The sequence below is a fragment of the Homo sapiens genome, chromosome 19, assembly GCF_000001405.40.
Source record: "Homo sapiens chromosome 19, GRCh38.p14 Primary Assembly".
In the NCBI taxonomy this organism is placed as follows: Eukaryota; Metazoa; Chordata; class Mammalia; order Primates; family Hominidae; genus Homo; species Homo sapiens.
In genome coordinates, this window is record NC_000019.10 from 53,770,128 (window position 1) to 53,785,576 (window position 15,449).

The 15,449-nt window shown below is 46.3% G+C and overlaps 2 pseudogenes, besides 1 other annotated feature; one reads left to right on the forward strand and one right to left on the reverse strand.

The window, feature by feature from the left end:
• Positions 1 to 2,367: 2,367 nt before the first annotated feature.
• On the reverse strand, positions 2,368 to 3,161 carry SEPTIN7P8 (septin 7 pseudogene 8; annotated as a pseudogene).
• RPLP1P12 (ribosomal protein lateral stalk subunit P1 pseudogene 12) lies at positions 5,342 to 5,799 on the forward strand (annotated as a pseudogene).
• Positions 12,308 to 13,033: an enhancer, noted in NCBI's record as "OCT4-NANOG-H3K27ac hESC enhancer chr19:54285689-54286414 (GRCh37/hg19 assembly coordinates)". NCBI's record gives its function as "activates a minimal SCP1, AML or CMV promoter by ChIP-STARR-seq in naive and primed H9 embryonic stem cells {active_cell/tissue: H9 hESC(naive and primed)}" and the evidence as "EXISTENCE:reporter gene assay evidence [ECO:0000049][PMID:30033119]".

A 15,449-nucleotide genomic window follows, 5' to 3' on the forward strand; every position in this document is an offset into this window, starting at 1 on the left:
GCTGCAATCAGCTATGACTGCACCACAGCACTCCAGTCTGGGCAACAAAGTGAGACCCTGTCTCAAAAAACAACACCGTAGGCCCAGCACGGTGGCTCCTGCCTGTAATCCCAGCACTTTGGGAGGCCAAGGCAGGTGGATCACTTGAGGTCCAGAGTTCAGGACCAGCATGACCAACATGGTGAAACCCCGTCTCTACTAAAAATATACAAATTAGCCAGGTGTGGTGGCAGACACCTGTAATCCCAGCTACTTGGGAGACTGAGGGAGGATAATTGCTTGAACCCGGGAGGCGGAGGTTGCGGTGAGCCAAGATCGCGCCATTGCACTCCAGCCTGGTTGACAGAGCAAGACCCTGTCTCAAAAAGAAAGGAAAAGAAAAAGAATACACCAGAAGGTACCCAGAGAGGCCAGTGTGGATGTACAGCCAGCACATAAGATGCTGGTTAGGGACAGGCGCAGTGGCTCACGCCTGTAATCCCAGCACTCTGGGAGGCCCAGGCAGGGGGATCACCTGAGGTCAGGAGTTCAAGACCAGCCTGGCCAACATGGCGAAACCCCGTCTGTACTAGCAAATACAAAAATTACTTGGGCGCGGTGGCACGTGCTATAATCCCAGCTACTCCGGAGGCTGAGGGTGGAAAATTGCTTGAACCCGGGAGGCTGAGGTTGCAGTGAGCCGAGATCGCACCACTGTACTCCAGCCTGGGCAACAAGAGCGAAACTCCGTCTCAAAAAATTAAATAAATAGGCCGGGCGCGGTGGCTCACGCCTGTAATCCCAGCACTCTGGGAGGCCGAGGAGGGCGGATCACGGGGTCAGGAGATCAAGACCATCCTGGCCAACATGGTGAAACCCCGCCTCTACTAAAAATACAAAAACTTCGCCCTGTATGGCGGCACACGGCTGTATTCCCAGCTACTCGGGAGGCTGAGGCAGGAGAACGGCTTGAACCCGGGAGGCAGAGGCTACAGTGAGCCGGGATCACACCGCTGCACTCCGGCCTGGGCAGCAAGAGCAAAACTCTGTCTCAAAAAACAAAAAACAGAAAAACAAAAAGAATCAAGTAAGTCGAAGCCACACTGATAACAGCCAATTTTTGTGAACCAAGGGAGTGTCAATTCAAGAATTTACATAGATGTCTACTTTTGCTATCTCCTATGTGCCAAGCAAGATACAGGCTCTGGGCAATCAGAAACAAAAGAGACTCACTCGTTCCTCTCACAGTACTCAGTCCTTACTGAGATAAGGACAAAAGAAAATGTCCTGTCTGGAATGCAGGGAAACCAGAACTTCAGGTCAGGGGACATTTCCATTGAATTGTGTGGAGTTGAAGCTGAAAATACTTTTTTTTTTTTTTTTTTTTTTACATCACGGCATGGTTTATTACGTGATTTTTTTACTATACAAACAAAAAATACAGAAATGCAATATGTGAATACAGCTAAATGCAGAATGGTGACTTTTTTCTCTTCAAGAGGCCATGATTCCCATTTCTAGTAAAATAAAGAGACCGCATACAGGTTGGTTGTGAGATTCACAATTTTGCCTAGAAATGATCTATAAATGCATTTTTCCCCCCTGCTACCTACCGTAAATCGTAAAAAGGGAGTTAAAGCAAAGTTTCCTTGTTGGTTCCTACCATATGGAAGATGCTATATTCTATTTTAGCAGGGTCAATATTTGGAAAATATCTAAATTAAATATTATTACAAAAATGAAGCTGTAATGAGATTCTGGCTAAAGAGGGCACTAAATGAGAATAATATATATTTAAAGAATCCAAAACAAACAAACAAAAAGAGGTTATTATAAAAAGCTCTAGGTGCACTGTAAGCATATAGGGTTTTTTTTTCATGTGTTTTTTTTTAAACAATGGAAGTGTCAAAAATAGGGTCAACTGTGTTAGACTAAATTACATTATTGTATATGCTGCATTGAATGGAACCTTTGTATTATAATTATCATAGAGAAGCACAGTTTGCATCATATTATGGCAATTCATCGTCAATGAAAACCTTCCAGAGTCCTTTTATTTTGGAATCTCCTGTAAACTATCAAACCACCAGAACATGACTGTACAACAGTAAAATGTTCTCTTGCATTAAACTGAAGAGACCTGTTTAATAAAAAAAGAAAAAGAAAATGTAGGAAAGGTACTTAGAGCTGTTACTTTCTAAGTACACAACACCCTAGACAATTCGAGGCATCTTAATCTCCATCAAGAACAACAACAACAAAAATAATTTTTGTCATGTTGTTAAATCCATCATTATGGATCAAACTGGTGCAACTTGGTCAAATGAATCCAACAAACACTGATGTCCAAGCTGGCATATTGGCAACTAATACACAACTGGTGGTCAATAGAGAGTTTAAAAGATCTTCCCTTTCTTGTTGTTCTTTTCCAAGGTTCTCAAAGAGTTCTGTTGCTCTAAAATACGTTGTTGAGCTTCCCAGTTTGCTTTCTCATCCTCAAACTGACGACGTTTCTCCTCTAATTCTTTGTGCCGTGCTCCCAAATTCTTTTTCAGTTGCACATGGCACTGCTGGAGCTAAATCACAGCACAATATATACCCCAAGGATACTGCCTTCCTCTGACCCTTTTTCCATTAACTTCAGTGATAATATCACTACCCACCACAGCAAGAGGTAAACGGTCCTTTATCTTTTTAACACGTTTCTTTTCTTCTTCATCATCTGTTTCTGGAAATTCATATATTTTAATTTTATGTTCTTGGATTTCTTTCATTATCTGTTTTGTAAACTGTTGACATTCCTCTGGTGTGAGTGTGTCTGCTTTGGCAGTAAGTGGGATGATATTCACTTTTTCATGCAAATGTTTCATAAACTCAACATCCAGTGGTTTAAGTCTCAACAAAAGGCAATGTCAAGTAGTTACAAACATGCACTACCCAATCCTGCCTGAAGGTGGGAGTCTTCAGTTATGTAATGGTCCTGTTATCAGGCATCTGACGTCTGCTCACTCGCGATTCTGCATTTAGGTAGTCCTCAAATTTACTATCAATGTAATCGATAACAGGCTGCCAGCAATTACTACTATCCACTGCATCTCCAAATCCTGAGGTATCAACTATCCTGAGCAGCAACTAAACACCACCTTCTTTGATTAAAACTTTGGATTGTTCCATCCAGGCTTCTATTTTCCCATAGAGGTCCAAAAAACGCCCTTGTTTGTTAAGTTGATATATGTAAACCTTTTCTCCAGGCTGTTCCTTGAGGTTTACATAATTGGGAACTCCTTCAAGCATCTGTAAATAAACCTTTTCAGCTGTAGATCTCTCTATTTTCAGTTAATTTGCAGACCACCAACTATAGGAGCCAAGTTGAAAGAGAAAAAAGTTTCTCTTCCCAGCACTTTCTTTAGGATGCTTTTCATTGCTTCCCAACTGGAGGCCTCGCCCCTCCACCCACCTGCCCTAGTCCTCAGCTGCCTCCAGTTCTGTCCACTTAAATACAGACTCCCGGTAGTAGAGAACTTTTTTAAAATTTTATTATTATTATTATTATTATTATTGACACAGTCTTACTCTGTCGTCCAGGCTGGAGAGCAGTGGCACAATCTCAGCTCACTGCAGCCTCTGCCTCCTGGGTTCCAGCGATTCTCCTGCCTCAGCCTCCTGAGTAGCTGGGATTACAGACACCCGCCACCATGCCCGGCTAATTTTTGTATTTTTGGTAGAGACGGGGGTTTCACCATGTTGGCCAGGCTGGTCTTGAACTCCTAACCTCAGGTGATCCTCCTACCTCGGCCTCCCAAAGTGCTGGGATTACAGGCGACAGCCAATGTGTGCACGGCCCAGGTATTAAGGAATTCAATCTCTATTTCTCACCAATGAATTAGGCTCTGGAAGTTAGTAGATTTTAACAAATACTTGTTAAGCTAAGTTCTTCTCAAAGGTCTTTAGGAATATTCAGTAAAAGAGGACTCTGTTAACTGAAAACCAGTTCTGTTCCAGTAAATCCTCAACAGATGGAGAAAATGAGACTATGCCCCACCCTTTCCCCTTAGGGCCTCCACATTGATTAGAGGAGGAATTCTCCTTTTAATGACTGACTGAGCTATCACTCCTCTCTGTCAGTAAAAACAGCAGCAAAAAAAATGTCTTGGCTGGGCGCAGTGGCACATGCCTGTAATCCCAGCTCTTTGGGAGGCCGAGGTGGGCAGATCACCTGAGGTCAGGAGTTTGAGACCAGCCTGGCCAAAACCCCGTCTCTACTAAAGATACAAAAATTAGCCGGGCATGGTGGCAAGTGCCTATTGTTGTACCTGAGCGAGTTAGAAAAACGCCACACTTTGAGACGAATTAAGAGTCCTTTATTAGCTAGCGCCTGAGAGACGTCTAAGGCTTAAAATTCTCTCAGCCCGGAGGAAGGGGCTTGATTAACTTTTATACCTTGGTTTAGGAAGGGGGGGGCGTCCAGTTAAAACAATTTTACAGAAGTTAAGTAATCAAAAAGTTAAAAGGATAAATGGTTACAGGAAAGTAAAACAGTTCCAGGTGCAGGGGCTTTAAGACTATTACAAGGTGATAGACGCGGGGCTTTGGGCGTTATCAGTCAGACGAATTCTTGGGGACTGCGGATATAGCTTGCCACAGTATCTTATCAGTTAATTGCATTCTTGGATGTGCTGGAAGTCAGCTTGCACAAGTTAAGTCCTTGAGGAAGGGACTGCCAGTGAAAGAGCCAAGATGGAATCTGTCTGGCTTTCTTAGCTTAGGGAGAGTCAGTTCAGGTGGAAACAAGGCTAGGTGATTAAAGGAAAAGGGAGAGTCTAAAAACAGGGTTAGTAAAAACCAGGTTGGGTATTACACTATAATCCCGGCTGCTTGGGAGGCTGAGGCGGGAGAATCGCTTGAACCTGGAAGATGGTGGTTGCAGTGAGCCGAGGTCGTGCCACTGCACTCCAGCCTGGGTGACAGAGCGAGACTCTGTCTCAAAAAAAAAACAAATTTCTTGGCCAGGTGCTGTGGCTCATGCCTATAATCCTAGCACTTTGGGAGGCCCAGGCCGGCAGATCGCTTGAGGTCAGGAGTTCGAAACCACTGTGGCCAACATGGTGAAACCCTGTCTCTACTAAAAATACGAAAAAGTTAGCTAGGCGTGGTGGCAGACGCCTGTAATCCCAGGTCCTCGGGAGGCTGAGGCAGGAGAATCGCTTGGACCCGGCAGGTGGAGGATGCAGTGAGCAGAGATCGCACTACTTACTGCCCTCCAGCCTGGGCGACAGAGTGAGACTCTAACAACAACAAAAAAAAAAAGAAAAAGAAAAAGTAAAAGAAAATTCTGACATCAAGCTCATTGAAATGTATTCTTCCCTTTCCTCAGCTGCTGCCAAGGTGCTCGGTCCTTCCGAGGAAGCCAAGGCCGCGTTGCAGTGAGGCCCTCACTTCATCCCGCGACTAGCACCACGTCCGGCAGTGCCAGCCCCACACTCGCCCGCGCCATGGCCTCTGTCTCCGAGCTCGCCTGCATCTACTAGGCGCTCATTCTGCACGACGATGAGGTGACCGTCACGGAGGATAAGATCAATGCTCTCATTAAAGCAGCTGGTGTAAATATTGAACCTTTTTGACCTGGCTTGTTTGCAAAGGCCTGGTCAATGTCAACATCGGGAGCCTCATCTGCAGTGTAGAGGCTGGTGGAGCTGCTCCAGCTGAGGAGAAGAAAGTGGAAGCAAAGAAAGAAGAATCCGAGGACGGTGATGATGACATGCGCTTTGGTCTTTTTCACTGAACCTCTTTTTATAAAGTGTTCAATAAAAAGCTGAACTTCAATTTAAAAAAAAAAGAAATAAATGTATTCTTTGCATCTGGCATAGTGTGCCCAGCGCGTGTGATCCCAGCTATGCAGGAGGATCATTTGAGTCCAGGAGTTCCAGTCCAGCCTGGGTTAACAGGTAGAACCCCTTCTCTGGAAAGAAAAAAATGTAAAAAGGCATTCTTTGTGTATTATTTTTTTGAAACAGGGTCTCCCTCTATACCCCAGACTGGAGTGCCTTGGTATCATCACAGCTTACTACAGCCTTGACCTCCTGGGCCCAAGCAGTCCTCCCACCTCAGTCCCCGGAGTAGCTGGGACCACAAGTATGCACCACCATGCCCGGCTAATTTTTTATTTATTATTCTCTTTCTCTTTTCTTTTTTTTTTTTTTTTTTTGAGATGGAGTTTTGCTCTTGTTGCCCAGGCTGGAGTGTAATGGCGTGATCTTTGCTCACTGCAACCTCCGCTTGCTGGGTTCAGGTGATTCTCCTGCCTCAGCCTCCCGAGTAGCTGGGATTACAGGCACCTGCCACCGTGCCCAGCTAATTTTTGTATTTTTAGTAGAGACGGGGTTCCACCATGTTGGCCAGGCTGGTCTTGAACTCCTGACCACAGGTGATCCACCCGCCTCAGCCTCCCAAAGTGCTAGGATTATAGGAGTGAGACACCATCCCCAGCCTAAATAATTCTTTTTTTTTTTTGAGACAGAGTCTTGCTCTGTCGCCCAGGCTGGAGTGCAGTGGCCCTATCTTGGCTCACTGCAACCTCTGCCTCCTGGGTTCAAGCGATTCTCCTGCCTCAGCCTCCCAGGTAGCTGGGATTACAGGCGTCTGCCACCGTGCCCGGCTAATTTTTATATTTTTAGTAGAGACAGGGTTTCACCATCTTGGCCAGGCTGGTCTCGAACTCCTGACCTAGTGATTCACCTGCCTCGGCCTCCCAAGGTGCTGGGATTGCAGTGTGAGCCACCACGCCTGGCCATATATTTTTATATATATGTATATATGTGTGTGTGTCTGTGTGTGTGTATATATATATATATATATATATATATATATATTTTTTTTTTTTTTTTTTTTTTTTTTTTTTCTAAAGATGAGGTCTCCCCATATTGCCCATGCTGGTCTCAAACTCCTGGCCTCAAGCCATCCTCCCACCACGGCCTCCAAAAGTGCTGGGATTACAGATGTGATCCGCTGCATAGGGCCAAAAAACCCCACCTTCTTTTGGGGGTTAATAGGCACCTGAAGCCAATAATAATAAAATAATAAAAATAAAAAAGAAACCAATAATAATAGGTCGGGCACGGTTGCTCATGCCTGTAATCCCAGCACTCTGGGAGGCTGAGGCAGGGGGATCACCTGAGATCGGGAGTTCGAGACCAGCCTGACCAACATGGAGAAACCTCATCTCTACTAAAAATACAAAAAAGTTAGCTGGGTGTGATGGCGCATGCCTGTAATCCCAGCTACTCGGGAGGCTGAGGCAGGAGAATCGCTTGAACCTGGGAGGTGGAGGTTGCGGTGAGCCGAGATCGCGCCACTGCACTCCAGCCTGGGCGACAGGAGTGAAACTCCATCTCAATAAATAAATAAATAAATAAATAAATAAATAAATGGGCACCTGAAATCTCTTTTTCCGAAGTTGCGAATTATCCAATTCATGCCTTAGAATTTAGTCACATTTCCAGGCCTGTCCCCTGACTTCCGTTTCCATTTCCTCAGTGATGTCCCCCAACCTCTCTGCAGATCCAAGCCTCTTCATTGAGGCCATTTTACACATCAGCACCATCCAACAGAACTTTTTTTTTTTTTTTTTTTGAGACGGAGTCTTGCTCTGTTGCCAGGCTGGAGTGCTGTGGCGCAATCTCGGCTCACTGCAACCTCTGACTCCCTGGTTCAAGCGATTCTCCTGCCTCAGTCTCCTAAGTAGCTGGGATTACAGGCACATGCCACCATGCCCAGCTAATTTTTGTATTTTTAGTAGAGACGGGGTTTCGCTATGTTGGCCAGGATGGTCTCAAACTCCTGACCTTATGATCCGCCTGCCTTGGCCTCCCAAAGTGCTGGGATTACAGGTGTGAGACATCGTGCCCGGCCCATCCAACAGAACTTTATATGCAAGGATGCACCTGTTCTGTACCTGCACTATTCAATATAGTCCTGATGTGGGCCAGGTGCGGTGGCTCATGCCTGTAATCCCAGCACTTTGGGAGGCTGAGCTGGGCAGGTCACTTGAGCCCAGGAGTTTGAGACCAGCCTGGGCAATATGGTGAAACCCCGTCTCTACAAAAAATACTAAAATTATCTGGACATGATGGTGGGTGTGTGTAGTCCCAGCTATTCAGGAGGCTGGAGGTGGGAGAATCTCTTGAGCCCAGGAGGTCAAAGCTACTGTGAGCCGTGATAGTGCCACTGCATTCCAGCCAGGGTGACAGAGTGAGACCCTGTTTTACAATATATATATATTTATATTTTATATATTATTATATGTAATATAAAAATATATATTTATTTATCCTAACCTCCGAAAGTGCTGGGATTACCGTCATGAGCCCCCAAGTCCAGCCTAATTTTATTTTTATTTTACATTTATTTATTTATTTACTTATTTATTTATTTTTTGAGACAGAGTGTCGCTCAGGCTAGAGTGTAGTGGCACAATCTCGGCTCACTGGAACCTCCATCTCCCAGGTTCAAGCAATTCTCCTGCCTCAGCCTCCTGAGTAGCTGAGATTACAGGCACACACCACCGCGCCCGGCTAATTTTTGTATTTCTACTAGAGATGGGGTTCTACCATGTTGTCCAGGCTGGTCTCCAACTCCTGACCTCAAGTGATCCTCCCCCTCAGCCTCCCAAAGTGCCAGGATTACAGGCATGAACCACTGCACCTGTCATATTTATTTATTTTCTTAGAAAGAGTCTCACTCTGTCACCCAGGCTAAACTGCAGTGGCTTGATCTCAGCTCACTGCAACCTCCGCCTCCCTGGGTCAAGCGATTCTCATCCTCAGCCTCCCCAGTAGCTGGGATTACAGGCTCCTGCCACCATGTCTGGCTAATTTTTGTATCTTTAGTAGGGCGGTTTCACCATGTTGGTCAGGCTGGTCTCGAACTCCTGACCTCAAGTGATCTGCCTGCCTTGGCCTCCGAAAGTCCTGGGATTACAGCTGTGAGCCACTGGGCCTCACCTTTTTTTTATTTTTCTTTTTCAGACAGAGTCTCACTCGGTCGCCCAGGCTGGAGTGCAGTGGCCTGATCTTGGCTTACTGTAACCTCTGCCTCCTGGGTTCAAGCGATTCTCCTGCCTCAGCCTCCCAAGTAGCTGGGATTACAGGCTCCTGCCACTACGTCCAGGTAATTTTTTTTTGTATTTTTAGTAGAAACGGGGTTTCACCATATTGGCCAGGCTGGTCTCAAACTCCTGTCCTCAAATGATCTGCCCGCTTTGGCCTCCAAATGTGCTGGGATTACAGGTGTGAGCCACTGTGCCCAGCCCTGTCCACATTTTCTAGCAAGCACTCTATCAGCCATAACTCTTGAGCATGGAACCCAAATATAAATTGTATGGCTCTGAGTGTCTGGCAAGGCAGGCTCTAGAAGAAGGCAGCTGGAAGATGGTGTTCTTGACCACTGCAGGGTTCGGCCACTTTAGAGATAATTGATAGTTCCAGTGAGGACTTATTCAATAGAAATATAAAAAGCAGGCCAAGTGCAGTGGCTCAAGTCTATAATCCCAGCACTTTGGGAGGCTGAGGCGGGAGGATCGCTTGAGCTCAGGAGTTCAAAACTTGCCTGGGCTATGTAGCGAGACCCTTTCTCTACAAAAAATAAGAAAATTAGGCATGGTGGAGTGCACCTGAGGTCCCAGTTGCTCAGGGGGCTGAGGTGGGAGAATCACTTGAGCCCAGGAGATTGAGGCTGCAGAGAGCTGTGACAGAGTCACTGTACTCTAGCCCGGGCAACAGAGCAAGACTCAAAATGAAGAAACAGATTTTGGCTGTGCGTGGAGGCTCATGCCTGTAATCCCAGCACTTTGGGAGGCCAAAGTGGGTGGATCATGGGTGGTCAGGAGTTCAAGACCAGTCTGGCTAACATGGCAAAATCCCATCTCTACTAAAAATACAAAAGGTAGCTGGACATGGTGCTGGGTGCCTTAATCCCAGCTACTTGGGAGGCTGAGCCAGGAGAATCTCTTGAACCTGGGAGGCGGAGTTTGCAGTGAACCCAGATAGCACCACTGGACTCCAGCCTGAGCGACAGAGAGTGAGACTCCACCTCAAAAAAAAAAAAAAAAAAAAGCTGGCCCCGAGCACGGTGGCTCACTCCTGTAATCCCAGCACTTTGGGAGGCCGAGGTGGGCAGATTGCCTGAGGTCAAGGGTTCGAGACCAGCCTGACCAACATGGAGAAACCCCCCTACTAAAAATACAAAAATTAGCTGGGTGTGGTGGCGTGTGCCTGTAATCCCAACTACTCGGGAGGCTGAGGCAGGAGAATCGCTTGAACCCGGGAGGCGGAGGTTGCAGAGAGCCGAGATCCCGCCATTGCACTCCAGCCGGCAACAGAGAGAAACTCCGTCTCAACAAAAAAAAAAAAAAAAAAGAAAAGAAACAAATTTGGAGCATATACCTTGACAGACTCCCCCCCTTGACCAAACTTTACACAGGCTGTCCTGAGCCCTCCTGACTAGGCCTGGGCCTTGGCTGCTATCTTATCTTTGACCTTACCAGCCCACTCTTAGCAGAGATTCCTGCTGAGTTATCTCTTGACTCTTCCCATCTAACTGCCCCTGATATCTGATGAAGTGCCTCATCCACCACCTTTGATGTAGGAGGCCTTGGCCCACCTTTAGCAAGAATCCCGTTAGGCCAGTTGAAGCAGAAATCCTCTGTCCAGGGTGCCTCCTTTGTAATTTTCCATCCATGAACCCATCTCTCTGTTCTTTGGCTAAATCCCATTTTTGCTTCTTCTTTTTTTTTTTTTTGAGACGGAGTCTCGCTCTGTAGCCCAGGCTGGAGTGCAGTGGCGCGATCTCGGCTCACTGTAACCTCCGCCTCTCCAGGTTTAAGCAATTCTCTGCCTCAGCCTCCAGAGCAGCTGGGATTACAGGCGCGTGCCACCATGCCCCGGGAATTTTTTTGTATTTTTAGTAGAGACGGGGTTTCTCCATCTTGGCCAGGCTGGTCTCGAACTCCCAACCCTGTGATCCACCCACCTCGGCCTCACAAAGTGCTGGGATTACAGGCGTGAGCCACCGCGTCCGGTCTTTTTTTTTTGAGACAAGCTGGAGTGCAATGGCATGTTCTCAACTCACTGCAACTTTCGCCTCCCAGGTTCAAGCGATTCTCCTGCCTCAGCCTCTCGAATAGCTGGGATTACAGGTGCTCGCCACCACACATGGCTAAATTTTGTATTTTTGGTAGAGACGGGGTTTCGCCATGTTGGCCATGCTGGTCTTGAACTCCTGACCTCAAGCGATCTGCCCACCTCAGCCTCCTAAAGTGCTGGGATTACAGGCGTGAGCCACCGCAGCCTTTGTCCACTCCTTGCCTCGATACTGAGGTCAGCAAACATTTTCTCTAAAGAGCTAGATAGTAAATGGTTTAGGTTTTGTGGGTCACGTGGTCTCTGTCACAATTTCTCAACTCTGCAATTACTATAGCAAGAAAGTGGCCATAGGGTCAGGCTCTGGCTCTCCTGCAATTCCCACGCTTTGGGAGGCCCATGCATGAGGATCACTTGAGCCCAGGAGTTTGAGACCAGCCTGGGTAGCATGGCAAAAACCCATATCTACTACAATTGCAAAAAATTAGCCAAGTGTGGTGGCACAAGCCTGTAGTCCCAGCTACTAGGGAGGCTGAGACGGGGTTGCTTGAGCCCAGAAGTTCAAGGTTACAGTGAGCCATGATCCAGCCACTGCACTCCAGCCTGGGCTACAGAGGAAAACTCTGGCTCTTTATGAAATAAAAATGAATAAATAGGGTGGGGGGCTAGGGGAGGGAAAACATTAGGAGAAATGCCTAATGTAGGTGACGGGTTGATGGGTGCAGCAAACCACCGGGGCACATGTATACCTATGTAACAAAACTGCACGTTCTGCACATGTAACCCAGAACTTAAAGTACAATAAAAATAAATAGATAATTTAAAAATGAATAAATAAATAAGCAGAGCCCAGAGGCTCTTTTCTTTCTTTCTTTCTTTTTTTTTTTTTTTTGAGACGGAGTTTCTCTCCTGTTGCCCAGGCTGGAGTGCAATGGCGCGTTCTCAGTTCAGTCTCTTCCCTTTAATCCCACATACTCAGGAGGCTGAGATGGGAGGGATACTTGAGACCAGGAGTTTGAGAACAGCCTGGGCAACATGGCCAAGACCCTATCTCCAGTTTAAAAAAAAATGCCACCACGCCTGGCTAGTATGTATATATAGTATTTATTTTGTAGAGACAGGGTTTCAGCATATTGCCCAGGTTGGCCTCAAACTCCTGAGCTCAGGCAATCTGCCACCCTTCACCTCCCAAAATGCTGGGATTATGGGCTTGGGCCACCACGCCTGGTCTAATCTTTCTTATACAATGTCCCCCCCACACCCCCGAATCGAGGATGGACGCCAGCACCTTTTAGGTGTTCCACATATTAAACCATGTGTATTAAATCTTGGAGTGTTAAGAACACAGGCAAACAAAATAAGCAGCCATTAACCGGGGAAAGGTTTAATCTAGTCTGGCAAGAATCTTTCCTTCCTGAACTCATCCCATTGCAGAAAAGATGGATAAAATGGTAAATTCTCCTTAATGTCATAAGGAGGTTTATCATGCACCCACCCAAAGTCTGTAGATAAACAGTGACTGAGAGAAAAATGGGATTACAGGAACGAATATTGTACATAAAAGGATTTCTCAAACTGTTAGGCTGTTTACAAAAAAAAAAATGCTAATCTCATTGTTATGGGGAGCTGGGGCAGATTATGCAAAGGGCTGGGTTTCAGGGTGAGGATTCAGGGTGATTATCATGACAAGGAGGTCTATTGGTTTGCAAACGATGACCTTTCAGCTCAGCAGGAAGAACTTCTGATTAGGCAAAATTTCCTCTATCTGTCCGCTCCTCCCAAGAAGCACGGGCTATGAAATCTCATGTCCTAAATATTTGGGATTTCTGATTCCTTCTGTTATTTTATGTATTTATTTATTTTTTGAGACGGAGTCTCACTCTTGTTGGCCAGGCTGGAGTGCAGTGGCATCATCTGGGCTCACTGCAACCTCCGTCTCCTCGGTTCAAGCGATTCTCCTGCCTCAGCCTCCCAAGTAGCTGGGATTACAGGCATGCGCCACCACACCTGGCTAATTTTGTATTTTAGTAGAGATGGGGTTTCGCCATGTTGGCCAGGATGGTTTGGAATCCCTGACCTCAGGTGATCCACCCACCTCAGCCTCCCAAAGTGCTGGGATTACAGGCTCGAGCCACCGCGCCTGGCTGTCATTTTTTTTTTTTCAAAGAGCTCATTTAAGAGTAAAGATAAATTGACACTTAAAGTTCACTAATAGTTAATACAATTATTACAATTTGAGGCTTTACGTTAAATATGTGTGTTGAATTACCGCAATAATACAAGACCAGATCAACTATACTTGTCAGGTCAGAATGAAAATCTAAGAAGCGCATCTTGAATTTTAAATTTTTTTCAATTTGATTTTTCTTGTCAAGCCTGGTTGTGGGGGGGGAAGGTCAAGTCTTAAACTGGTCTCACCACCAATGTTATCAATTGTCAAAAAAAAAGTCAAATTGGGCCAGGCGTGGTGGCTTATGCCTGTAATCCCAGCACTTTGGGAGGCCAAGGTGAGAGGTTCGCTTGAGCCCAGGAGTTTGAGACCAGCCTAGGCAACAAAGCAAGACCAGCATCTCCCTCTCTCTCTCTCTCTTCTCTCTCTCTCTCTCTCTCTCATATATATATATATATATATGTATTTTTTTTCTTTCTTTCTTTTTCTTTTTTTGAGACGGAGTCTTGCCCTGTCACACAGGCTAAAGTGAATGGTGTGATCTCGGCTCACTGCAACCTCTGCCTCCCAGGTTCAAGCATTTCTCCCTGCCTCAGCCTCCCGAGTAGCTGGGATTACAGGCGCCCACCACCACACCGGGCTAATTTTTGTATTTTTTAGTAGAGACGGGGTTTTCTTATGTTGACCAGGCTGGTCTTGAACTCCTGACCTCAACTGATCCGCCTGCATCAGCCTCCCAAAGTGCTGGGATTACAGGAATGAGCCACTATGCCCAGCCCATCTCTATATTTTTAAACAAATTATACAACAAAAAAGTAAAATATCACATTGGATATTTTTTCTTTATTCTTTGTTTTTTTTTTTTTTTGAGACAGAGTTTTGCTCTTGTTGCCCAGGCTAGAGTGCAATGGCGCGATCTCGGCTCACCACAACCTCCGCCTCCCGGGTTCAAGCGATTCTCCTGCCTCAACCTCCTGAGTAGCATGCACCACCACCCCGGCTAATTTTGTATTTTTAGTAGAGACGGAGTTTCTCCATGTTGGCCAGGCTGGTCTTGAACTCCCGACCTCAGGTGATCCGCCCACCTCGGCCTCCCAAAGTGCTGAGATTACAGGTGTGAGCCACCGTGCCCAGCGGATCTTTTTTCTTTTCTTTTTTCTTTCTTTCCAGGGATGGGGTCTTGCTCTGTCACCTGGGCTGGAGTTCAGTGGCAGGATCAGGCCTCACTGCAGCCTTGAACTCATGGGCTGAAGAGATCCTCCCACCTCAGCTTTCCAAATTGCTGAGATTACAGGCTTGAGCCACTGCCTGCAGTCCTCTTTCAAATGCACTTAAAAATCGTCTTTGACTATACTCTTTGTTGAATGTTGATTAAATTCAATTGCACTAATAACATTTTTTATATTCAAAAATACAAACGTTGGCCGGGTGCGGTGGCTCACGCCTGTATTCCCAGCACTTTGGGAGGCCGAGGCGGGCAGATCACCTGAGTTTGAGAGTTTGAGAACAGCCTGACCAACATGGAGAAACCCCGTCTCTACTAAAAATACAAAATTAGCCGGCGTGGTGGCACATGCCTGTAATTTCAGCTATTCGGGAGGCTGAGGCAGGAGAATCACTTGAACCTGGGAGGCGAAGGTTGTGGTGAGCCGAGATCGAGCCACTGCACTCCAGCCCGGGTGGCTGAGGGAGACTCCGTCTCAAAAAAAAAAAAAAAAAGTCAGCAATGAACTCGCTGTGCTGGCCCAAGGGCAGGAGAAGAAAGCCGCCCTTAAAGGAGAAATTTGCAAAGACAAAATGAGGTGATGAGAAAAAGCCGAGTTCTAGGAAATACCCGAGAGATCATCCAGGTGGTTCACAAATAGCAGAAAATCCAGGTGCAGTGTGAGAGGAGTGAGTAGGTTAGATAGGAATCTGGATGGCTGAGCTGTAAGGACATAAGCACTGACCTCCCGCAACCTTGACAAAGATCAAAGCAAGAATTTTTTTTTTTTTGAGATGGAGTCTGGCTCTATCACCCAGGCTGGAGTGCAGTGGCGTGATGTGAGCTCACTGCAACCTCTGCCTCCTGGGTTCTAGCGATTCTCGCCAAACATGCTATTTGCTGTCTCATTTCTATCTCTCGCCATCCTTTGCAGCAAATGCTGTACATTTTCATTGATGAA